At 42.6% G+C, this 25,402-nt stretch overlaps 2 long non-coding RNA genes across 4 annotated transcripts in view; both read right to left on the reverse strand.

The window, feature by feature from the left end:
• The window catches only part of LOC105370002 (uncharacterized), a 59,593-nt gene extending 53,203 nt beyond the window's left edge, over window positions 1–6,390 (reverse strand). For both annotated transcript variants that reach the window (NR_188487.1, NR_188486.1), the window contains exons 1-2: window positions 6,249–6,390; window positions 5,147–5,240 (exon numbers count right to left, since the gene is read on the reverse strand). This is a non-coding gene — a long non-coding RNA (uncharacterized LOC105370002). The remainder of the gene's footprint in view (window positions 1–5,146; window positions 5,241–6,248) is intronic.
• The window catches only part of LOC105370003 (uncharacterized), a 389,555-nt gene that overhangs the window by 261,236 nt on the left and 102,917 nt on the right, over window positions 1–25,402 (reverse strand). The gene's annotated exons all lie outside the window — the stretch shown is intronic.

Genomic DNA, 25,402 nt, shown 5'->3' on the forward strand with positions numbered 1-25,402 from the left:
GCCCTCAGAAATCTGCTCCCTGCTATCTTTCTCACACCAACTCCTACCACTCTCCCCATCCCCGGCCACTCCCTTCTAGCCACTGTGGCCTCCATGAGGTGCCTCAAATGCACCCGCACACACTCACCCCGGGGCCTTTGCACAGTGGTTCCCTCTGCCTGGATGTTCTTTTTGCTGACTCCCTCACCTCCTTCAGTTCTAGGCCCAGGTGCCAGTTTCTCATTAAGGCCTTCTCCAGCTACCCTGTTTACAATTTAAACACATACACACACACACACACACACACACACACACACACACACACACAGGAACTCTTTCCTCCTTTCCTGCTTTATTTTTCTTCATCACATCTAGTATTACCATCTCACACCTATATATTTTTTGCATTTGTTTTGTGTACTATTTCTCTGAACTAGAAAGTAAGATCTGAGAAGGCAGGTATTTGGGTTCATGCCATTCACTTCTGTGTCCCCAGCATCTAGGACGATTACACAGTGGGTGCTCCAAAAGTATATGCTGATTGAGTGAATGAAGAAATAAATGACTAATGGAGACACTGCACTTGCTTAATAGAAAAATACACTTGTTATGAAAGCAGAATGCACAAATATATACACTCAGAATGAGTTTACTTACACAAAATAAATATACGTCTTGCAGAAGAAAGAGACTGGAAGGAAATTCAGCATCATGTGGACAGTGGTTAAATTTAGTGGCAGTAGTATTAATAATTATTATATTCTTCTCAGTACTTTTCTGCAGGGACCAATTTTCTACTGTGGCCACGTGTAAAATATTTTAGCTGAGGGGAAATGCTTGGTTTGGTCTTGTTTTTTAAAAAATGAAAGTTGAAACATGAAAGAGTTTTGATGGATTAATCAGTTTAATGATCATTTCCACAGCACAAAAGACAGGCAACATATTAAATGCCTGCTGCGTATGTCATCCTGTGGCGAGACATGAAGGAAGATACAGTCCTACATTATCCTGTGTTTAGGCCCAATGCCTGGCTTGTCCCACGTGCTCATTAAGAGTTTAAGAATGGAAAGAAGAGTGGAAAGGAAAGAGAAAGGAAGAGATGGAGGAAGAAGGAAAGGAGGGAGAAAGAAGGAGAAAGGGAAGAAGTGAGAAAGGGAGGCAAGAAAGGGGAGAAAGGGGAGGGGAAGGAAGGGAAGGGAAAGGGGGAGGGGAGGAGGGAGGGAAGGGGGAGGGGGGAGGGGGGAGGGGAAGAGGAAGAGGAGGGGGAGGGGAGGAGGGAGGGGAGGGAAGGAAAGAATATGAGAGAGGGAGAGAGGAGGGAGGAAACCTATATACATCAAAATCTCATCCTCTATCATGATGGAGTCTGAAGGCTTCTCCCCCAGTTCCTGGCTGGGGTGGGGCCACCTAGGGAGGCCAGTTCTTAGGCTGAGGCAATCATCTGTTGGGCAAACACTATGTGTCAGACCCCAGATAACTTGGGGTCCAACCATGCACAAGTGCCTTCAATTCTCTGAGGCTTTGAGCTCCACTGCACAATGGGATGTTCACATCAGCACCCCTTTTAATGTCTCTTAGTCCACATAATGAACTGATGAGATAGGCATTATTCACCCCAATTTAAACATGCAACACTGAGGTGACAAGAGAGGATACAGCCCCTGTCCAAAGTCATACACACAACTATTAAATAGCAGAGACAGATTTGATCCTATTCTCCAAAGCCTTTTATTTTCCCTAACTATGCATGCTTCCTTGGAAAGGGCATTTGAGTGTGAAAGCAGATCTTGGAAAGAGGGGAGTCTCTAAGGCTAAGAAACAAGCGTGCTGGACCTTGGGCCATTTAGGCGCTGGTTCTCTGTGCTCTGATGGTAAGCAGACATCTTTGCATCTCCACACCCGCCGGGAGTGAAATCTTCTGTGTTCAAGAGACTGTAGTTCACCCAAGGTCAGGGTAATTGTGCATGATTAATGGTTGTCTCTTCGTGAAAGACCCACACAAAAGCTCCAAACCAACTTAGTCGTAATTTCATACTTCTCCCAGTCCACTTAGAAGAACGGGGTTTTATTTCCTGTGTGCACAGCCACGAAATCAGAATCTTCAGCTCAGGAAAAGAGCTTTTAAACCTCTGATTCACAGACCGTGTTTTGCCAAGGCCAGGGCCAGACAGCAAGGAATGTGTCTGGCCCCTTTAGGTAAGAAGGAAAAGAGAGGTTATAATAGAAAGAAGGGGGAATTGTCAATTGCTCACCGTGCACCAAGCATCATCCCATGTTTGTTAGATGAGTTAACTCCCTCAATCCTCAAATCCAATCTGTGATTATCTCCATTTTACTAAGGAAACTGAGGCACAGAGAGGATAAGTAGTTTAGGTCACATGGCTACAGTTAGGGAGCCAGGATTTGAACCTTGATCATCTGGCTCCAGAACCAGGTGTTAAGGAAGCCCTGTCCAGCTTCATGTTTTAGATAGACTCCAAATCTTCACGGTGGTCGTAAGTCAAATCAACTTGATTGACAGCTCAGTGTAAAGTGGTTTCTTTACAAGCAACGACCCTATGCCCATCAAAACTAGAGTTGTCACCCTTCCAATGGCTCATGTCGTATCGCCTACCTGTCCCCACCCCAAGATCCATCCAAACTGCCCCTTTGGTGTCAGCCATGCCCAGTGACCTTCTATTTCCCCGTGGGCGTGGTGCTTTTGCATCTCTCCACACCTTTGCACCTGTTGTGCTCCCCTGCCTGGAATGCCGGTCTTGTCCAGCGTTTGCCTACTTAGTCTCGTCGAGCCTTTGCCTACTTGGCCAAATCCGGCTCACCTTTCGTGACTCAGGTTGAGCATCTCCCCCAACAAATAGTGACGAGTGGATGAAGCAAAACATTAAATCCAAGTTCACTAACTGGCATCCCATGGTCCAGATGTGTTCTTCAACAGAATGTGGTTTGGCCACATGGTGCTTTTAGCAATTTGAATTCATTGCTATAATTTTTAAAGTAGGAGATATCACCTTAAAAAAATTTGGAGTTCTGGAGGTTCTTGAAAAGCCGGACGATCTGGTGACTGGACCTAAAACCTTGTATAGCCACAACTGGCTGGAGCTGGGCAGTGGCTGTCCCCTTTGGTGGATGGGATACGGGCTCTCCAGACCACCAGAGCCCCCTCCACCCCCATCGCTGCCTACCTTATTCATGTATCACCCTATGTTAGGGTTCTCTAGAGGGACAGAACTAATAGGACAGATGTATATATAAAGAGGAGTTTATTAAGGAGTATTAACTCACACGATCACAAGGTAAGGTCCCACAATAGGCCATCTGCAAGCTGAGGATCAAGGAAGCCAGTCCGAGTCCCAAAGCTGAAGAACTCGGAGTCTGATGTTCGAGGGCAGGAAGCATCCAGCATGGGAGAAAGATGCAGGCCAGAAGACTAAACCAGTCTAGTCTTTCCACATTCTTCTGCCTGCTTTTTATTCTGGCCACACTGGCAGCTGATTAGATGGTGCCCACCCAGATTGAGGGTGGGTCTGCCTTTCCCAGTCCACTAATTCAAATGTTAATCTCCTTTGGCAACACCCTCAGAGACACACCCAGGAAAAATACTTTGCATCCTTCAGTCCAATCAAGTTGACACTCAATATTAACCATCACACACCCCCATCTTGCCCGTGTAGGTCTTGGAGTTTTTAAGACTTGCTCTATAGGACAGTCTGCAAAATAGAAGTTTGGAAGCACAGAAAGGGAGTCTCTGCTCTGAATTGCCCCTTTCCATTGTGGTGCCTGCCTGGCCTTGCCCTCTGCAGGACATATTATATAACAAATCAGGCCACTGGCTCCAGAAGTGTGTGATAGGAAAAACCATATCCCATTCACTTATTTATTTCACAAATATTTTTTGGAGGACTCACGACGTGCAAGGAATTCTGTCTAATTGGCATGCATTTCAGGGAAGCTGCCAGAAGACAGTCACCTCTAACCCTCTAACTTTTTCTCTTTTCTCCTGAAACCTTTAAAATGCAACTTCGCCATGCTGTATCCAAGTTTCTAAGCCTTAGAAATTTCATCTCTTGCAAATGGACCATTAAAGACGCCCTCCCTGCCTCCTCTTGGCAACTCCTTTAGTGGTTGATGTGGCTCTTTGAGTGTGTCTTTCAGATGCTCTGGGTCTCGGCTAATCTACAGCTCGCTTTCATGTGTGCTTAGTTACAGACAATGAGGGGAAGCAGCCCAGGACTGTGCCTCCTAGTCAGGCTCATTACAGCATCCTCGGCCTGTGTAGAAGATGCGGATACCTTGCCCCAAACCCAGCCTGGCAACTTTTATTGGAGCTTAGGCTTTAACTGGGGATTTTAAAGAGCTGGAGGTTTTATGGGAGACAGCTGGAATGCCAATCCCTATAGGTAGCTGCAGCCGGAGCCTCCAGAAAGGAAACAGTGGGTTTCCAGGCAGACCAGTTCAGCCTCCTCACGCCCAGGGGAGGAAGGAAGGAGGTGACTGCCAGCTGCCCTCTGATCTTTGAACCTGGGCCTGTCAGCTTCACAGGGGAGCAGCAGAGCATTCAGTCAACCCGAGGATCCCTGTTCTCTCCACCTGGGATACCTCACCCAGCCCCGACCTCCACTGTCCTGAGTGCAATAGCCCCCACCCTTGCCTGTCTGTCCTCACCGATGGGTAAGGCTGTTCATGAACAAGGACACCACACAGCAGGATTGTGGCGGGTCTTCCAGTAGAATCATACTGTATTTTCCTGATTCTTCGCTGGCTAGTGATTCCAGAAACCCAGACCACAGGTGGTTGCCATGGCAACTGGGCTCAGATTTTTTTTCTTTTTTTTTTTTTTTTAACTGTGTTGTATATCCAAGAGAAGGAGGGCACATTTGGGGAAGGGGTGGGGATGGTGGAGGAAGCTCCATCAGATTTACCTTCCTGCTTCTGGCCTTTTATCTCAGGCTGAGACCACAGCCACTGTGAGAGGACCAGGGAGTAATTCCTGGAGGGATTCCGCAGGGCGCAATCAGAGGGCCTTTGGGGGGTTTCCGAGGCCTCCCCTCTCCATTTCCTTCCTAATTGTGACATCATGAACGCCCTAACAAGTTAGGCATGTGGAAGGCTCCAATTCCTGCCTGCCCTCTCCCTTCCCCCACCGCCTCTCCCAGCTACAGATACTGACCCAGACCTGCAGAAAGAAGGACATCCAGTCTGGAGACCTAGGCTGTGTGACCCTAGGAAATACACTTTGCTTCTCTGGGCCTCAGTTTTCCCATCTGTAAAGTGGAGTAGGTGGACCAGAAAAAAAAAAAAAAAAGACAATTAGGTTTTCTCTCAGCTGCCATTTCTCAACTATCGGTAGAGGCTGTCTGAAGCACTCTGTCGAGAAGTCAGTTAGCAAATATCCGGGTTCTACTTTGCCATTTTTATAAAACACATCCACAGCTTCACCTGCAGGCTGCGGTTTTGGCTTTTTTGAGGTAGGAAACAAAAGTTGCTGCAAAGCAGTCTAAAGGAAGAATCCTTCCAAATCATCAAGATCATTTTCCTCCTCATCTCTTAAATTTTCTCATCCACACCTAATTCAATGGCAAGTGTTTTTAGCAACTCAAATCCAATTGGGCGTTCTAAAGCATGCAGTTTCATTTTTATGAATGCAATTCTTCTTTTACACACTCATTTTCATTGGCTGATATGAAATTTTATTAAATTGCATAATTACAATAACAAGAAGGGGTAGATTCAGCTTTGTGGGATCTGAAGCTTATACAATTTGGAAGCTCTTTCAGAGGAAAAAAAAGAAAATTATAAACATAAATTTACCTACAAAACATAGATGCTTATTTAGAATGAGAAAATGTCACAATATGAATCACAAGTTTCTGCTTTTTTAAACATGAAAATACTACAAATATCACAAAATCCAGAAGGTGATCATAATATTTGTATTAATTAACTACCTCTCACACCACTAAAATATTTTTTATCCTACAACTTCTGGCTACAGACTCTTAATCATTTCTTCTTTACACAGTAATTTGGGAATAATACATTCTACAGGAAGAGTAGAATAATTCAGTATTTTCTTAAGCACAGTTGATTAAATGGTTTTTATATTTGAAATACATAAAATACGCAACTTCATGTACAGAAATAATCACCATTGGTATACTGCTTCAGGGTGTGCCCAGGACCCACAGAAATGGATAAATTCTATTTTACATGATTCCCATTCAATAAAAAAAGGAATATGGGGTATGTATACCTGGTAAAGCTGTACTTACAAGCAAATTTCTGCTAGAAAGGAACTTCTATTTTGACGAGTTGTCATTCTAAAGGAATCCTCTTACAGTTTTGTGGGTTTGATGACTGAGCATTCTGATTCTCTACAGTTCAGAGTTTCTCTTCCACAACCCACATACCTCTGGTGCCAGGCAACACAAAACATATTCATATTGTGACATGTTCTCTGACTCTGCACCTGAGTATCACAACATCAGTAAGTAGGCATAGTAAGAGGAGGAACAGTTCTAGAACCCATTCCTACATTGGGATGGCTAGAAACAACTGCACAAAGAAATGACTTTAATTCACACAAATATATCGCATTAAAGCCAGTCTAAATATATTCCTAAATCAGCTTTATTTTAACAGTCATTCTAGTGGCCCCAGACATTTGGGAGGAATGCAAAGAGACTTGTTTTAACCAATACAATTTAAATATTTTATTTTGAAAAATGTTGAAAAACATCATGAGATATATCTGATAATGGACTTTATCCAAAATATATGAAGAACTCTTAAAACTCAACCACAAGAAAATGAACAACCTGATTTAAAAAAATGGGGAAAAGACCTAAAGAGACACCTTGCCAAAGAAGACACACAGATGCCAAGTAAGCAAGTGAAAAGATGTTTCACATCCTAGGTCATTAGGGAACTGCAAATAAAACAACAATGGGATACCACAAAACACCTATTAGAATGGTCAAAATCCAAAACACGGACAACACCAAATGCTGACGAGGATGTGGAGCAATAAGAACTCATATTCATTGCTGGTGAGAATGCAAAATGGTGCAGCCACTTTGCAAGACAGTTTGGCAGTTTCTTAAAAAAGCTAAACATACTCTTACCATAAAATCCAAAAATCATACTCCTTGATATTTACCCAAATGTATTGACAACTTATATCCACACAAAAGCCTGGACATGGATGTGTAGGCAGCTTTATTCATAACTGCCCAGACTTGGAAGTAACCACTTACCTTCAGTAGGTAAGTGGATAATCTATAGTATATCCAGACAGTGGAATATGATTCAGCCCTAAAAGAAATGAGTTATCCAGCCATGAAAAGACATGGTGGAAACTTAAATGCATGTTACTATATGAAAGAAGCCAATCTGCAAAGGCTATGTACTGCATGAATCCGACTATATGACACTCTGGACAAAGCAAAACTATGGAAACAGTAAAAGATCGGTTGTTTCCAGGGGTTAAGAGGGAGAGAGGAATGAACAGGCAGAGCACAGGAAATGTTTTTAGAGTAGGGAAACTATTCTGTGTGATACTACAATGGTGGATACATGTCATCATACATCTGTGCAAACCTATAGGATGACAACATCAAGACTGACACCCTAATGTAAACTATGGACTCAGGTGATGATGTGTCCATGTATGTCCCTCAATTGTAACATGTGTGGGGAGCATGTTGATGATAAGAAAGGCTGTGCAAGTGTGGGGACAGGGTTGTGGGATATCTGTATCTTCCTATCAACATTTTTGGGAACGTAAAACTACTCTACAAATAAAGTTTATTAATTAAAAGAAAATTTTTTAACATAACATGACCTCCTGAGCACATTGCTAGAGCTCCTCCCAGGGCCCTGGGAGGGGTCAGTTCATGTGAGGTCCTGGAGCTTAAATGTCATTAGGTTATTTTTTTAGAACAAGTATAATTGAGTCAAAGAGGTCTGGGAACCAAGAAGGTTGACGTTTGGTAAATACGCACCTCAAGATGAAAGAGAACCTGCACACTTCTCTTTCCTCTTGAGGTGCATATTTACCAAAGCGTGCAATAAGCTTTGCACAGCAGTTAGTCTACTTGCAGAGGGGATAGAGAAGGCCAACTCTTCATTGAACAGAGGATGGTAAAGAGAGGTTCTACTGTAATTACCAATATTTGCTGAGCTTCTACTACATATCAGACAGTGTGCTAAGTGTCTGATAGAACAACATCATGATACCTGTATTCTTATTACCAATTTAGAGATTTAAAAAGCTGAAAAATGAAATGAGTTACTAGAGGCCTTACAGACACAATGAAGCTGGGATGCAAAGGTGTGCCTGGCTCCATGGAGTCATGCTGCCTTAATCCAGGGCTTCAGGCAATATATTTAACCATTTATCTTTTTTATATCATGGTGTAATGGTGTAATAGCACCAGGCTTGATGTCCTCTGAGGTCATGCATGTCAAAATTAAAATGAGATCATGGAACAACAGCACCTTTTAACTGTGAGATGCTGCATGTAATTTTCAGGATCCAGGGAGAATAGAGAAATCACTAAAGGTCTTTTGAACAGAAGGAGTTTAATACAGGGAGTTGACTACCTAGATCATGGAAGGGCTGATAAGCCAACAGGAAAGGCTGAAGGAAACCAAAGGATGGAGAATAAGGATTCCCCTTTGGCTGGAGGGACAACAAGAGAAGGTGATTTTGCCAGAGCCAGGAGCTGGGGTATCCAGTGGGTGCTACAGCCCTGGTAGGGGCTGCCCACACAGTTGAGATAAGGGAAGAAAGGGCTATCCGAAAGGAGATAAACACAGGGAGAAAAGACAGCAGCTGCTGGTAATGCCCCCAGAAGCAGAGAGAGGGGTAGAAATGCCCTGACTTCTCCCTATCCCCCACCCTCCAGCACTTCTCCCATTGGCCAACCCTTTACAGGAGACTGGGAAACATAGCTCCCTGTGATAAAGAACAGCACAGCATGGAAAGTACAGGAAGTGGATTGAAAGCAAACTTGCTATTAACCACACCACACATACACAAGATACTATTATTATCAGAGAGAGCTACAGGCTCCTGACTGACAGAGGAGGGAGGCTAGACATGGGTTTCTAAAATAACAATTCATTTCTCTTCTCCCCCAGGCCTAGAACGAATAGGTTAAAATACAGTGAAAAAACTCAGCCAGAGGTTTCTACATTTCTGAATAAAATCTTGACTGTATAAAACAGTTGGGGTGGAGGAGTTGCTAAGGAAAAGGGGGATAGACAGATTCTACATTTTATTCTGCCTGCAAGTTGCAAAAAGATAGCAATCCAAGGGCAGGGTTTATTTCCATCATAAAAATAGAGGGAGGCCTCAGGACTGATGGAAGTGACCTGCCCTCTCATCAGGGGCCTCTGGTAAGGAGGCGCATAGGAGCTCAACCCTAGAGACCAAGAATGACAGCATCCCTCCGGCACTCTTGATCCATCAGAAACTGACAGCCCTACTGTCCAGCAGTGAGCTGGCCAGCAGCTGCTGTGGCTGCATCCTGCTGGAGGGTGTTGATGAGAAGGAGAAAACAGCCCCAGCCAGAAGCCACCCATCCCGCTTCTCTCTTCATTGATGTCCTCCCCTGGATTCTGTCTTGGGAGGCAAATGCAGTTCCAGAGAAGCACTCCTGGCCTCATGACTTCTAAGCATCATGTCTCCATCAGGCCTGGTATTTGCAAATGGCTCCTAAGTCCAGGGCTATCTGTCCCCATTTGCTGTTGGAGCGCCCAGCACCTTACAGTTCAAGGCATAGGCCACGTCCAGCTCCTTTGGGGTATGTGTTCTCACTCCCGTAGGACTGGAACACTCCTACAACTCCTTTTTGTCAAGGTAGCACTGGCTCACCTCCCAGTTCTCAGTAAATATCACTCCCTCAGGTGACTCCTCTCTGACCACCCTCCTAACAGAAATGATCTATGCTTCATAGCACTCTTTACTTGCCTTATTTATTACACTCTATTGTTACTACTCATGTAATTACTTAGACCAGGGGTTGGCAAACTATAACCAGCAGGCCAATCCAATCCAGGGCCAGTTTGTGCTGTAAAGTTTTATTGGAACACAAGCATGTTCATTCATTTACATATTGTCTATGACTGCTTCCATACTACAATGATGGAGTTAAGTAGTTGCAACAAAGACCTCATGGCTGACAGAGCCTAAAGTATTTACTATCCGGCCTTAAGTATAATAATAATAATAATAATAATAATAATAATAATAATAATAAAAGAAAATATTCGCTGACCCCCAACCACAGTTATAAAAAGTTTCTTGATCATTCATCCCTGTGAGCAAAATATTTTTGCTTACTCTCCCTCCTAAAACAGTATGTGGATATATATTTTAATTACATTTTTAAATTGTGTATATTTTAATTGTATGTTTAAATTATATACATGCACTACTTAGTAATACTCCTCACACAGGATGAAACATACTCAATAGTAGAAATGTTTAAAGATTGAATTAAATATATACATAGAAGCTCTAATATTTTCTCCCTATGCTCAAGCATCATTGGTCCAAGATGGTGCCTAAAGCATAGGGGAGGGGTCTTAAAAATGTTTATTAGCTTAATAAAAGCCCTCTCTGAGGCTGCAGATCTTCCCAGACTGAATGAGCAACCCTCTTGAGCCTTTGCAAGCCCTATAGATTAAATTAGAGCCATCAAGCATAGAAATCCTCTCAAGACTGAGATGTCTCATTCGGTTTTCCCAGTGTCCACTGCCCTGTGAGCTCCATGAAGGCAGGAATTTTTTGTCTCTTGTGTTCATTGTCATATGCTCAACACATAGTGCCTAGAACATAGTGAGAATGTAATAAATACGTGTTGTCAGAATGAATGAATGAAAAAGCGTACCTCCCACATCAAGAAAATAACTGACATTTTCTTCCATTTCTGTCTTCTTCCTGAAAGACTCTCAGGTCAATAGGCACTTTGTTTTTGCATTGTGGATTTTTTTTTTTTTTTAATTAAAGGGTAGGCCTGGGCATGGTGGCGCATGCCTGCAATCCCAGCACTTTGGGAGGCCGAGGCTTGAGGTCAGGAGTTTGAGACAATCCTGGCCTGGCCAACATGGTAAAACCCCGTCTCTACTAAGAATACAAAAATTAGCTGGGCATGGTGGCACACGCCTGTTGTTCTAGCTATCCAGGAGGCTGAGGCAGGGGAATCACTTGAACCCAGGAGGTGAAGGTTGCATTGAACTGAGATCGAGCCACTGCACTCCAGCCTGGGCAACAGAGTGAGACTCTGTCTCAAAAAAAAAAAAAAAATTAATTAAAGACTGTATATATCCACACCCCCCCCCCAAGTTTTTTGTTTTGTTTTTAATAATTTTAACTTTTACTTTAGATGCAGTGGGTACATGTGCAGGTTTGTTACCTGGGTATATTGCATGATGCTGAGGTTTAGGATACAAATGATCCCATCACCCAAGTAGCAAAGCACAGTACCCAACAGTTGGTTTTTCAACCCTTGCCTCCTCCCTCCCTCCCACCTCTAGTAGTGCCCGGTGTCTATTGTTACCATCTTTATGTCCATGAGTACTCAGTGTTTAGGTCCCATTTATAAGTGAGAAAATGCTGTCTTTGGTTTTCTGTTCCTATGTTAATTCACTTAGGATAATGGCCTCCAGCTGTATCCACATTGCTGCAAAGAACACGATTTCATTCTTTTTCATGGCTGCATAGTATTCCATGTTGCATATATACCATGTTTTCTTTATCCAGTCCACTGTTGATGGGCACCTTGGTTGATTCTGGTTTTGTTATTGTGAATAGTGCTGCAATGAACATATGAGTGCAGGTCTTTTTGGTAGAATGATTTATTTTCTTTTGTATATATACCCAGTAATGGGATTGCCGGGTCAAAACTATCAACAGAAAAAACAGACAACCTAGAGAATGGGAGAAAATATTCATGAACTATGCATCCAACAAAACTCTAATATCAAGAATCTATAAGAAACTTAAATAATTTAACAAACAAAAACCAAATAACCCCATTAAAATGTGGGCACAAAACATGCAGACACTTCTCACAATAACACATATAAATGGCCAACAAACATACGAAAAAGTGCTCAATATCACTCATCATCAGGGAAATACAAATCAAAACCACAATGAAATACCGTCTCACACCAGTCAGAATGGCTAGTATTCAAAAGTCAAAGAACAAATGTTGGCCAGGCTGCAGAGAAAAGGGAATGCTTATGCACCGTTGGTGGGAATGCAAATTAGCTCAGCCACTGTGGAAAGCAGTTCGGAGATTTCCTTCATAACTGTTATGTCAGCCTCGCTTTCTGATCTATCCTACAAGCTGGGTGCAGGCCTCTCTTAAGGCTCTCGCCCATAGGGCCAACTGTCTACTGTGCTTCTTTACTTTGGATGTTTCACAAGGCACATCAGACTCAAAGAGTCTGACACACAGCTTTGTCTCACCCAAATACTTCTCACTCAAATACTTCTCTCCCACCCTGTCACAGAGAACATGCCACCAACAGATCCAGTTCAAGTTGAAAACCTGGGGGCTCACCATGATTTCCTCTCCCACTTAACTGCTCCAGCGCCCTTCTAGGTCAACCTCCAAATAATCACCATCTCGATGCTGTGGACTCCACCTCTATGTCCCTCTCATCCAAATTCTCCTCTGCCTCCTCACATCCACTGCCCAAGTCCAAGGCACTATCCTCTTCCTCCTAGATCCCTGCAACATCTGCATCACTAGTTTCCTGGCCTCTTGCCTCCTACTCACTAGCAAATCTTTTTCCCCACAGAGAAAATCCAGGGGATTCTTCTAATAGGCACATCTGAAATGAAATTTTAACTCCCTCTCTACTGGCTTCAGTATAGCATCCAAACTCCTTAGAGTTATGGGATAAGCCCTGCTGGCCCTGGTTTCTGCTCTCTGCAAAGCTACAGATGCTGAAGATGCAAGAGACTGGAATACGGAAAACTGACATTTGCCACGTGACTGCATCGCACTGAGTACTGTGCTGGGTGCTTCATGCTTATTCCCATCCTGACATGTCCTCTATAAATTGATCTATAAGTTTATCTATCATCCCGAGGTTGGTCTCAGGCTTATAGCATTTTTTTTATTCTTTAATATGTTTATTTCAGAAAATAGAATGTCAACCATGTCTGTTCCATTAAAGGTCCAAACTAATTTCTTTGAAGTCAATCACAATTTTTGTTTCTTAATCAGCAGAGTGTGGGCCATTTGTTCTATGGACCCTACCTTCTGGGTGTTTTATCTCTAAGGTGTTTTAACCTGTATTAGCTGATAGTACCCATAAGCAAAACTCCAGGTCTTTAAAAACCATACTGAATTCCTTAGAATTAGGTTTGGTTGCATGTGATGAAACACCCAAAATATTAGTTTAAGAAAACTAGAAGTTCATGTCTGTGTCTCCTAAAGTAAGTCCAGAGACAAGCAATCCAGCATGATATGGCAGTTTAATAATCAGGAGACCCAAGCTGCTTTTTTTCTTGTTGTGCCACCTTTCTTAACTTCCTGCCTCATAGTCTAAAATAGCTGTTGGGCTCTAGCCCTCATGTCTGCATTCCAACCATATGGAGCAGCAAGAGAAGAAGCAAGGGGTTTGTTCCAGCTGTCTTTTTAAGGACATTAACCATACAACACCACCACTTAAATTTCAGTGGGCAGAACATGGCCACACTTTGCTGGAAGGAAGTCTGGGAAATGTCTTCATTCCAGCTATCTATTGTCCAGCTAAAGATGGAGGTTCTGTTACTAAGACAGACAGAGAAAACAGGCAGGGCCACATTAACACCAATCTACCACAGGTGTTCAGCTATTCCACGTTGCCCCAAGCCAGGATATCTCTATAACCATTACACAAAAACAAACAGAGACCAAATTTAAGTTAAAGATTGCACAATGCACAATCAGGCAACTCTGTTTATTCATCCATCCATTTGTTCACTCATTCAACAAATATTTATGTAGCATCTGTTTTAAGCTGGGCACAGGGCAAGATACAAGATACAAGAACTGAAAAAGAATATGAAGCAAGAAATGAGTTGTCCTGCTTGATCCACACAGATGTAATGAGAATCCAGTGATAATGGGGTTGGTGTATAAACTGTTAATGGATGACGTTATTGGAGCCTGAATGTTGGTCCTCTAGCGCAAATGCCCTTGCTTTACCATGCAGGCCTTTACTGCTTTGTTTCTTATATAAATATACCCTCAAAGGACAAAACAGAGTTTCTAATCTCAAGAAAATGTGTGTATGTATACTTTAGAAGTAAAAAATTTTTAAAATTTTAAAAAGAGTTTCTAATCTCAAGAAAATGTGTGTATGTATGCTTTAGAAGTAAAAAAAAAAAAAGGCAATTTCAGTGAAAGAAAAAAGAATATGAAGTTTGAATTCTTCACAAGCTTACTCCTGAGGTTATTTTAAATGAAACAATGTATCACTTAATGAATAAGTATCATTACATGTACCATCATGTATCACAAGAAAGCACCAAGAATCCAAGAATAGAACAATATAGACCAGCAGTTCCAGTAAAGCCTGCTTTAGTCACAGATGTGAGGTTGCAGAACTCTTCCCAGGTCTTCAGACTGGGCCACCTAGAGCTCATCTTACCAAGTAAACTTCAGAGTGTGGCCTGCTCTGCCCCCTCCCCCAGTCATGTCCAAGGTCAGAATCCAGCCAGGGGCCTCAAACAGGCAGAAATATTTATGCCAACTCCAGAATACCAAACCTAAGAGACAGAGCTGATGCCACTTGAAAGGAATCAGGGCGGAATCTCCAGAGATTAAGAAAATGACAGTGACCAAGTTGCAAAGGGGAAGGGGGTGAGAACAAGTGGAGATTAAAGCAGCCGGGCCATTTGTTATTTTGATTTATGCTTTTTTTTATTTTAAAGGGAATTAAAGAAGATGAATTAAGACTTCATTAGATGCCGACAACTTCAGGAAGATTAATCCATCTTCCATTTGCATTAAGACTCACAATCTCTCCAATCTCTCCAGGCCTAGGGTGAAGGAAAGGGAAAGCTATGGATACGTTTCTGTCTTCCCCACCCTGCACCCCCTACCTACCTCTCCCCTCTGGCCACTTTCCCTTTCATGTCTTTGTTTGACATATAGGAAAGAATCATGAGGTGTTGAGTATCATTAACTTCCAAACACCTATGAAATCAGTAGGGAAGTGCAAACATTGTGGACCCCGACCGTCTCTGCAAATGATCTATCCTAAAGTCCTCCCCTTTGGAGATGAAAAGAAATAGTTTGGCAGACTGACAGTCTCGGGGAGAGAGGCCTGAATGAACAGGCAGGGGACACGCAGAATAAATGAAAATATGATTGACTTCTTACCTCATTCCGGCTCACACATGGTTCTGAGCATTTAATAAACAGGTTGACACTCCGAGTTCCCCTCATTAGGTGAATGTGGAGACCCCGACTGTTATAAATCAGAAGGGCAGGTTATCAAAGCTTGTGATCTTTAACTGTGTCAGGGCGCCCTCGTGTCTGCTGAAATGGAGGCAGCAACCTGCAAGCTGCAAAGAATTAGCCACTATACCACGATTTAATACACATGCACCCAGGAGGAGGTGGGAGGCTGGCGCTACAGGCAGTTTTTCCAGGTACCCAGCACATGTGGCTGGCCCTCGGGCACAGTTTACCTGGGGCTGAATGGTACCTGGGGATAAAGGCGAGGGATGACCCTGTGATGGATCAATAAATAGACCTGTGTTTAGTTAGACTAGGATCAATGGAGGAAAAATCACTATGGAATGTTAGAATTCCCAAGCCAGAATGGGCTTTAGGAAAACCCTCTCATCTGGTGATTTCCCAGCCTAACTTCACATCAAAATCTAATGGGGCTGGGCGCCATGGTGGCTCATGCCTATAATCCCAGCACTTTGGGAGGCCTAGCTGGGTGGATCACCTGAGGTTAGGAGTTCGAGACCAGCCTGGCCAACATGGTGAAACCGTGTCTCTACAGAAAGTACAAAAATTAGTTGGGCATGGTGACAGGTGCCTGTAATCCCAGCTGCTCAGGAGGCTGAGGCAAGAGAACCGCTTGAACTCAGGAGGCACAGGCTGCAGTGAGCCCAGATCACACCACTGCACTCCAGCCTAGGTGACAGAGCAAGACTCTGTCTCAAAAAATATATACATATATATGTATTTTATATATATGTATTATATATATGTGTATATATGTGTATGTATATATATATGTATGTGTATATATATGTGTGTGTATATATATATAATGGAAAACTGATAATTTCTAATAAGGTTAAAAAGACTTCTACCCTGTGACCCTGAAATTACATCTCATGAGAAATGAATGCATATGCCCACAAAAATACTTGTATACAAATGCTCACAGTGACTTAGTTCATAAGAGCTCAAAACTGGAAACAGACCAAATATCCCCCCACAGGAGAATGGATACAAACACACAGTGGCACGTCCATGCAATGGAATATTATTCAGCAAGAAAAAAGAAGCAGGCACTGCTGATCTGTGTAACAACATGAATGAATCCCATGGATCTGATGTTGAATGAAAGAATCTAGGCTTAGGAAAGTACATGCTGTGTGATTCCATTTCTATGAAATTCAAAGACAGACAAAGCTGATCTTGCCTGGTAATAAAAGTCAGGACAATAGTAGGACAGAGGGGCAGGATTTGGAGCACAAGGAAACTTTCTGGGGAGGTGGGAATGACCTATATCTGAATCTGAATGATAGTTACAGGAGTGAACACATTTGCAAAAATTCAACAACTGGTACATTTGATATTTGCATATCTTGCTATATATATAAATCATACCCCAGTAAAGTAAAACAAATCAATGAAACAAGTAAAAACAAATAAATAAATAAATGCAGAGTCTAGAGCCTTTGCACATGCTATTCCCTTGGCTTGGAATATCATGTCCCCACCCCCTGATATTTAAGAGGCTAGCCCCGTCCTATCATTCAGGTCTTAGCTTAACTCTCTCCTCCACAGAGAACTCTGCCATTAATTGCTGCATCATTTGGGTTTTCGGCTTGTTTTTATACTCCTAATCATGCTCAGAAATTTTCTTGTGTGTACTCTGCCTCTCCATCCACCCCTATCACCAATAGACTGTGAGTGCCTAAGCACAGGGGTCTTATTGATTGTGTTCACTGCCCGTGCTGTGTCTCCATTCACCCCATTGCGCCTGTTGTTCACCACTCTCCACCTGCTCTCAGCTTCAGAGCTGCCTTGCTAGAGTGCAGCAGTGCACTCCCTGAACTTCTGACTTCGGGGTGAGTCTTGGCCAATGGGAAATCTCAGCAGGAAATTGAAAGGAAAGAGGAGTGGGAGAATGGGGTGACACATCCTTCTCTGTGGCATCCCCACAAGCTGACTGCATCTCCAGGTCAGTGGTTCTCAATCAAGTGTAATGTTGCCCCGCAAGGGACATTTGGCAATGTCTGGAGAAATATTTGGTTGCCACAACTGGGGGTGATGGTGCTGCTGGTATCTGTTGGTTACAGGACAGGGACTACAATGTACAGGACAGCCCCCACAACAATTACCCAAGCCCAAATGTCAACAGTGCCAAGGTTAAGAAACTGCTCTCGGTGAAGGTCATGGTTCTTCTAAGGAGGCATCTCCATAACTCTGTCCTTCCAGGGTCAGGTGAACATTCCCCCCGACTCCATCAGGTCCAGAGACGGTAAAAGCCCCACTGTTGCTATCCTTGCTGCTTCCCCTATATCCCGCCCACACCTTTGTATTAGTCCCTCTGTGAAAACTCCTCAAATTACCCTAATTGGAGTGCACTATTCTATTTCCTGATGGAACACTCACAAGCAGGCCATTTCATCTCCAGCAGCTACATGCTTAGTAAATATAAATAAATATTTGTTTAAGTAATTAATGGATAAGAGTCTCCTAGAAGATCAGGATTTAAAAGTCAAAGATAAATCTTAGAACTTATATATTTTTACAGCTTTATTGAAGTATAATTGATACAGAAAAAAACTGCACATACTTAATGTATACAATCTGATGGGTTTGGACATGTGTATACAGCCATGATGTCATCACCACAATCAAGGTAATAAGTATATTTATCACCTCCAATGGTGTCCTTGTATCCCTTTGCAGTATGTGTTTGTGCATGTGTGTGTGTGTTAAGAAGACTTAACATGAAATTCAACCTCTTAAAACAAATTTTTAAGTGCACATCATATCATTAACTGTACATTAACTATTGTACAGCATATCCCTAGAACTTACTCATCTTGCGTAACTGCAACTTTATACTCATTGAACAAACTCTCCACTTCCCCCTCCTCCCATCCTGTGACAACCACCCTTCTATTTCTGCTTCTGTAAGTTGGATTATTTTAAATACCTCTTGTAAGTGGAATCATGCCATATTTGTCCTTCTGTGACCGGAACTTAATATTTTTTAAAAGATTCTTCAGGTGATTCTAGAACTAGTCCCACATGTGTGCAGGGGAAACTGAGACCCAGAGAGGGGAAAGTACTTTTTGAGGATCACACCATTGTGAGAAGCAGCCTGGGTCCAGAAAGCACCCATTCTTGACATTGATTATTAATTCCATTACCTTTTGCTGCTTTCCCTCAAATTATTTTCCCCATAACATCGCTGAGGCCTTTAGACATAATGCATATTCCAAACTTCACACCTCCTGCATTTTAAAGGACATTCAATCTGTGCGATTCTAATGCATCCACTCACACACAGCTCTGAATGTCCAGGGCTGGAGGGGCAGTCCCACAGAGGGGCCAAGGGCCTGAGGACAACAGATATTTCTGATTCAGTCCGAGGGTCTGCCACATCCAAGCTCCCAAGCTCCATGACCTACTAAGACTCAGCTCCCTTGTCTGGAAATTGAAGATGATGGTGCTTACATCTTAGATTTGTTAAAGGCCTCCATGAGATGACGGTTATAAAGTGTGTGTCACAGAGCTGGGCATGTCGTGAGGTTGCAGAGAGTGTTGGTTATGGCTAAGACGCCCTTCAAGTCCAATTTTCTCTGTATTTTGTCTGCCAGAATCCTCAAAATGTCCAATGTGACTGAGCCAAGACATCTTGAGTCCCCAAAAGCAAGAGATTTTGCTTGCATTTCTCTCTATATCCTTAGCTAAATTATGGACCAGATAGAAGCCAGTTCCAAGCCACTAAGACCCAGACTGTAGATTTAAATTGCTGACAATAGGTTTAGACTTGCCAATGAAAAAATCCACATTCTCGTGTAAGCTTAAGAGAACAAAGCTTCTTCGAGGTTTTTTTTAAAAGAGTGGAATTAGGATCTCATGTCTTTGTCTTTTCTCTTTACACCCAGATTAAAGTCTTTAATACTAAGGGAACTATCTGATTTTCCGCGTAGAAAGAACGAATTCTGTAAGTCAGAATATTTTAAATACCTCTTATAAGTAGAATCATGTCATATTTGTCCTTCTGTCACCAGAACTTACATTTTTAAAAATATTCCCCAGGTGATCTTTTAAAAGTTTCCCCAGGTGGGCCAGGCATGGTGGCTTGCACCTGTAACCCCAACACTTTGGGAGGCCAAGGTGAGTGAATCACCTGAGCCCAGGATTTGAGACCAGCCTGGGCAACAGAGTGAGACCTCATCTCTACAAAAAAATACAAAATATTAGCCAGGTATGCTAGCACACACCTGTGGTCCCAGCTACTCACTCGGGAGGCTGAGGTGAGATCACTTGAGCCTGGGAGGCCAAGGCTGCAGTGAGCTATGATTGTGCCACTGCACTCCAGCCTTGATGACACAGTGAGACCCTGTCTCCAAAAATAAAAATTAAAAATAGAATAAATTGGTTGAGAATGGAAGAGGTAAGAAGATTCATGCCTCTCTTCCTCCATAACTTGCAGACCTGAACATTGATTAGTCTGAGAGAGAACAAAAATGTTTGCTTCTAGCAATATGGCTTATAAGTCAGACTCAAGAAAGGTCTAAAGAGATGGAGAGAATAAGGGCATTTTCTCTTTAATAGAGACTTTAAATGCAATGGCTCCAGCGTGTCCTCAGTATATTCTGAGATGTGGGCTCTTCACCTGTAAAATTGGGCCATATCAATACCTACCTCATGATGTTGCTGTAAAACTTGACTGCAACCAACAGTGTAAAAGCGTTCCTATTTCTCCACATCCTCTCCAGCATCTGTTGTTTCCTGACTTTTTAATGATCGCCATTCTAACTGGCATGAGATGGTATCTCATCATGGCTTTGATTTGTATTTCTCTAATGACCAGTGATGGTGAGCTTTTTTTCATGTTTGTTGGCCGCATAAATGTCTTCTTTTGAGAAGTGTCTGTTCATATCCTTCACCCACTTTTTGATGGGGTTGTTTGTTTTTTCTTGTAAATGTGTTGAAGTTCCTTGTAGATTTTGGATATTACCACCATGGCACATGTGTACCTATGTAACAAACCTGCACGTTCTGCACATGTATCCCAGAACCTAAAGTATAATTTAAAAAATTAGAAAAATAAATGGACTGCTATACACAATTGTAGTATTACTTACTGTCTACAAGTTTGTGTGCTGCCTTTTTCAGTTAACACTCTCATTGTGATTGCCTCTCAGAAAAAATGACTTAATTTTTTTCTTCAAATTACATAGTCAATGTTACTTTAGAAAATATGAGCAGTATTTCTAAGAATACTGAACAAAGTAAGTTACCCAAAACCTCCGCATCCTAAGATAGTTACCATTAGCATTTGGGGAATGGTTTTTCATGCATCTCTTTATGCGTTTTATGCTGCTTTTAAAAATCCAACCTCATGTTTGGATCAGCTGTAAATTGGTGGAATTTGGTCCCAGCTATGGCACTTGGATATGTGATTTAACCTTTCTGGGCCTTGGTACCTTCATCTATAAAAGAGTACATTCACTTTCTGGGGCTGCTATAAGAAATTGCCACAAACTGGGTGGCTTAAAACAACAGAAATCTGTTCTCTTTCAGTTCTGGAAGCCAAAAAAGTCCTAAATCAAGTTGAAAGTCGGGGCTTTTCCAGAGGAGGAGGCTCCAGAGGCTCTGAAGGAGGATCTGTTTTGCACCTCTCTCCTAGCTTCTGGTGACCGCTGGCAACCCCTAGAGTTCCTTAGCTTCTAGACACATCACTCCAGTCTCTGCCTCTGTCTTCGCATGGCCTTCACCTCCATGTCTGTGTCTTCTCTTCTTATAAAGACACTCATCATTGGATTTAGAGCTTGTTCAGATAATCCAGAATGATCTCATCTCAAGATCCCTAATTTAATTACATCTGCAAAGACTCTTTTAAAATAAGCAAACATTCACAGGTTCCGGGTGGATATATCTTTTTTGCAGGGGGTTGGGGGCACCATTTGACCTCCTGCAAATGGAGATAAGAATAGTTGCCTCCAATAGCTACTTTGACAAACAAGTTGGATGCGATAATGCATATGCAATTCCTGGCATATGATTAATGATCAATGAATGCTGTGTATTAATAATCTTATCTGAAGGAGGACATTGCTCCTTCAGCTCCTTTCTGGAGGAATAAAGTAAGATATAAATAAACAAACACAAATGAATAATTCTGAAGTTCAGATGGGTGCCAAAAATGTAATTTTCTTGGTTCTCTGTGAGCTTTCTCTAGTGTTTTAAAGTAGAGAGTTTTCATATATGTAGGCTCTAATTTTTTTCTATAAATTTCCTTTAGCTTTTCTCTTCATTCTGGCTTTTCTTCCTTCTGTCACAGCTCAGTGGGTTGGCCATTTTACCCAGAAAAAAAATAAAGCTTCAGAAAGTATAATAGATTCAATCAAATCAGTTAGATGAATTACATTTTACTTAGAATGAAAAACCTACCATTCATTTCAACATGTAGCTTTTCATGCTTTCATGACATTGAGGTTAAATAGAAATTCTTTACAGCTTCGTTATTTCAAAGCATAGGGTTGTTCTGATTTTTTTAAACCTGATAAATGAAAATCAAGACTTATGAAAGAGCAGAGAAAAAGAAAGCAACTGTTCACAAAAAGATTTGTCCTTGACCAAAAGATGCTCCTAGTGCATTTTTGATGACTTGGCCTACAAGAAGTGAGTAACAATAGAGTGAGAAAAGTAATTGAGAGGCCAGAGAAGCGGGTTTTATTCTGGGATATATTACTCTCTACCAGTGTAGCATGTTGGTAAAGTGACCTCTCTGTCCCTTTGTTTCCCTCTTATAGAATAAGGGAGGGTTGGAAGGGGTTACCACTGAGGTCTCTTTCAGCTCTGATCTTCTAGAGCTCATAAGTCAAATGTTAACATTGCTCAAATCAAAAAGTTAACTTGAATCCCTTCATCAGTGGCTAAGGGAGCATTAGAATTGAGTTCAGTAAGTTTTCTGCACTCAAAATATATAATGGCATTTGTTGACTTGGAAACTTCCAGGTCTTTTGATCTAAGAACAGGGCGTTCTGGAGTGAATGAGCAAGACAGGAAATCAACCACCTCACACATGAAGCTGAATAACAGTCTTGAGACAACACATTCAGACTTGTCCCGAGGCTCTGTGCCCACTTGTCCAGTGGCAGAACCCGAGGTGAAAGTCCACGAGGAAAATAGGAGGAAGGACATTCGTGGATAGAAGATCTGGCTTTCCACATGAAGGAGGAATAGCTCAGGCAAGGACTGGATTTTAAAATTCCTGGTCCCTCCCACCAAGTCTTATAACAGAATGGTGTTTGGTGAGCACTCAGCTGACTCACTGACTGCCAGTTGTTCAGGAGGGGTAAGGGAGCAGAGGGGAGGGTATCTCCTGGAGAGCACTGGCCACCAAAGGAAGCTCCATGAATTCAGGGGGCAGGAGAAAATGTGGAGAGGAGATGGTTCCATTGTGGATCTGCCTGCCTGGCCCCCACACCCTGTTACCCCACAATCAGCCACCGACTTCATTCATTCTGGGCCTTTGTTTCATCACAGTCATCATCTTCATCACCCTCTTCCTCCTCTTCTCCTCCTCTCCTCCTCTTCCCCTCCTCCTCATCCTCCTTCTTCTTCCTCCTCCCCTCCTCCTCCTTCTTCCTCGTCCTCCTTCTTCTTCCTCCTCCTCTTCCTTTTCTCCTCCTCTTCCTCCTCCTCTTCTTCTCCTTCTTCTTCTTCCTTCTCTTCTTCTTCCTCCTCCTCCATCTTCCCCCCTCCTCCTCATTACTATCATCATCATCACCATTTCTTCCAGTGTTTATTCTATATATTTCTGCCAATATGCTAAGTACTTAACAACTGTACATGTACTTTCTCTTAACCATCACAGCAATTTAAGGAGGTGATCACTACTCACTACTTGTCCTGGTCTGGTTTCCTCCCCCAGAACAGGTCTTGAGATAAGGATTTGTGTGTAAGTGGTTTATTTGGGGATAACCCCAGGAAGTCTTGGAGGGAATAAAAGGCAGGAGCGCAGATATAAAGGGTGCCTTGCTGAGCAGTTACCATGGTGGGTAACTGGGGCCTGGTCTTGCCATGGGCCCCTGAAGGGCTGTGAGAACACACCTCAGAGTTGGCCCAGGGAGGAAATGGGGTGGATAAATAAGGGGTATTTATTTACCACACCCCATTCCTCATTGGTTGACATTGCTTCTGGGGGCATCAACTCTCTGATACTTCTGACCATCCTGGGCTGAGCACATATCTGCAGTCAGACAGCCCTTAGACAGAGGACTAAATGTCAGTGTTTTGGCAACTGTCAATCTAAGCTGTAGTTGGCTTGAGAGGTTAGAGGGGGCACAGGGTTATAGGCAGGGCACCAAATAGCATCTATATGATTATTATTCCAATCTTAGAGGAGAAGAAATAAAAGCTTAGAGAGGTGAAGTAACTGATTTAGATCACAGAGCCCATAATGGTGGAGCTGGGATTGAACCTGGGTCTATGGATTCAAGAACCTGAGCTATTAATTCCAATGCTCCCCAGCCCCATCCATTAAAGGTGGGAATTAGTTCTAAACTGCCTTCCACCTACACCTCACCATCTCTGGTTCCAGCTAACAAGGTTTAGAGTTGAGGGAGAGGAGTTTTTACATTCATGTCTGTCACCCCTCTCTGCTGTCTCTAGGACAAGTTCAGTAGAGAGGTGGGAGGGGGTTCAAACATGAGGCTGGTGTCCCTGGCAATCATGAAACTTCCACCTTCCACATCAGCTGGCTGTTCATCCCTCTCCCACACCAATCAATGAGGCTTGAGGCTCTGAAAGTTTGGAGAAATCATTTAAACATTCTGACCCTCAGCTTCCTCATCTAGACTGTGGAAGAAATGATGAGTACCTACTTCATAAGGTTGTTGACAGAATTAAATGAGATAATGAATAATAAGAGCTTAGCATAGCATCTGGCATATAATAAGTGCTTGTTAGTTTATTATTTCTATCATGCATTATTAATTATTATAATTACCTGGGAATCTGATCTTCCACCTACAAATACTTTGTTTCTAAAATGAAAATCAGGACATTACCTGTGACAGAGTCTAACAACAAAAGGCAATAAGGAAAATAAGACAAATTCACACTTAATTTCCCTTGATGGTCTACCATACCGGGGAAGCTACAAGCTGACCTGTATATGCGTCTTTATGGAAGGGGAGAAGGATGTGTGTGGAAGCCTACAGCCATCTGGCCAGGCCCCTCTGTTGCCTGATGTCAACGTTTGACTTGTTATGGCCCTGTGATGGCCCTGCTTTTCTCCTTGCCCCCATAAATTCTGTTCTCAAGGCAGCAGCCACCAGAGTAGTCCTGTTAAAACATTAAGGCAGATCCTATCACACTTCTGTTCAAAATAAAACAATGGTTTCCTTTCCTCCCAGAGAACAGCTAAGCCTTGACGACGGCCACAAAAGCCTCCATGCTGCAGAGTCTGAACACTTCCTTTATCTCCTGCCTCCCCTCTGGGCCCTGTCTCCAGCTCCCCCCACTCCATACTGATTCCCTTGGTTGTTTTGACAGCCCAGTGCATACCCAGGGTATTTCCACTGGCTGTTGTCTCCTTCTGGGATCTTCTTCCTCCATAACCAAATGGCTTACTTCGTTGCCTCCTTCAAGTCTTTGTCAGATGTCACCTTCTCAATAAGGACTTCCCCAACCACACCATTTAAATTACAACAATCTCCCATCCCCATCGCACCAGTGAGACTCAACTCCCCTTCACCTACTCTATATATGTATTGACCATCAACAGACTATCATTTACCTATTTAGTATTAAATAGTTCACAGTTTACAGTCTTGTCTCTGTCCCTATAGAACTGTTCTCCCTTTAGAACAGTTATTCTTGCTCCCTATAGAATGGCATCTGCAGACATATCTTGGGGGCAAAAAGAGTAATTTTTTGCTCTACTGGAATCTAGTAGGTAGAGGCCA

Source organism: Homo sapiens, chromosome 12 (genome assembly GCF_000001405.40).
Source record: "Homo sapiens chromosome 12, GRCh38.p14 Primary Assembly".
In the NCBI taxonomy this organism is placed as follows: Eukaryota; Metazoa; Chordata; class Mammalia; order Primates; family Hominidae; genus Homo; species Homo sapiens.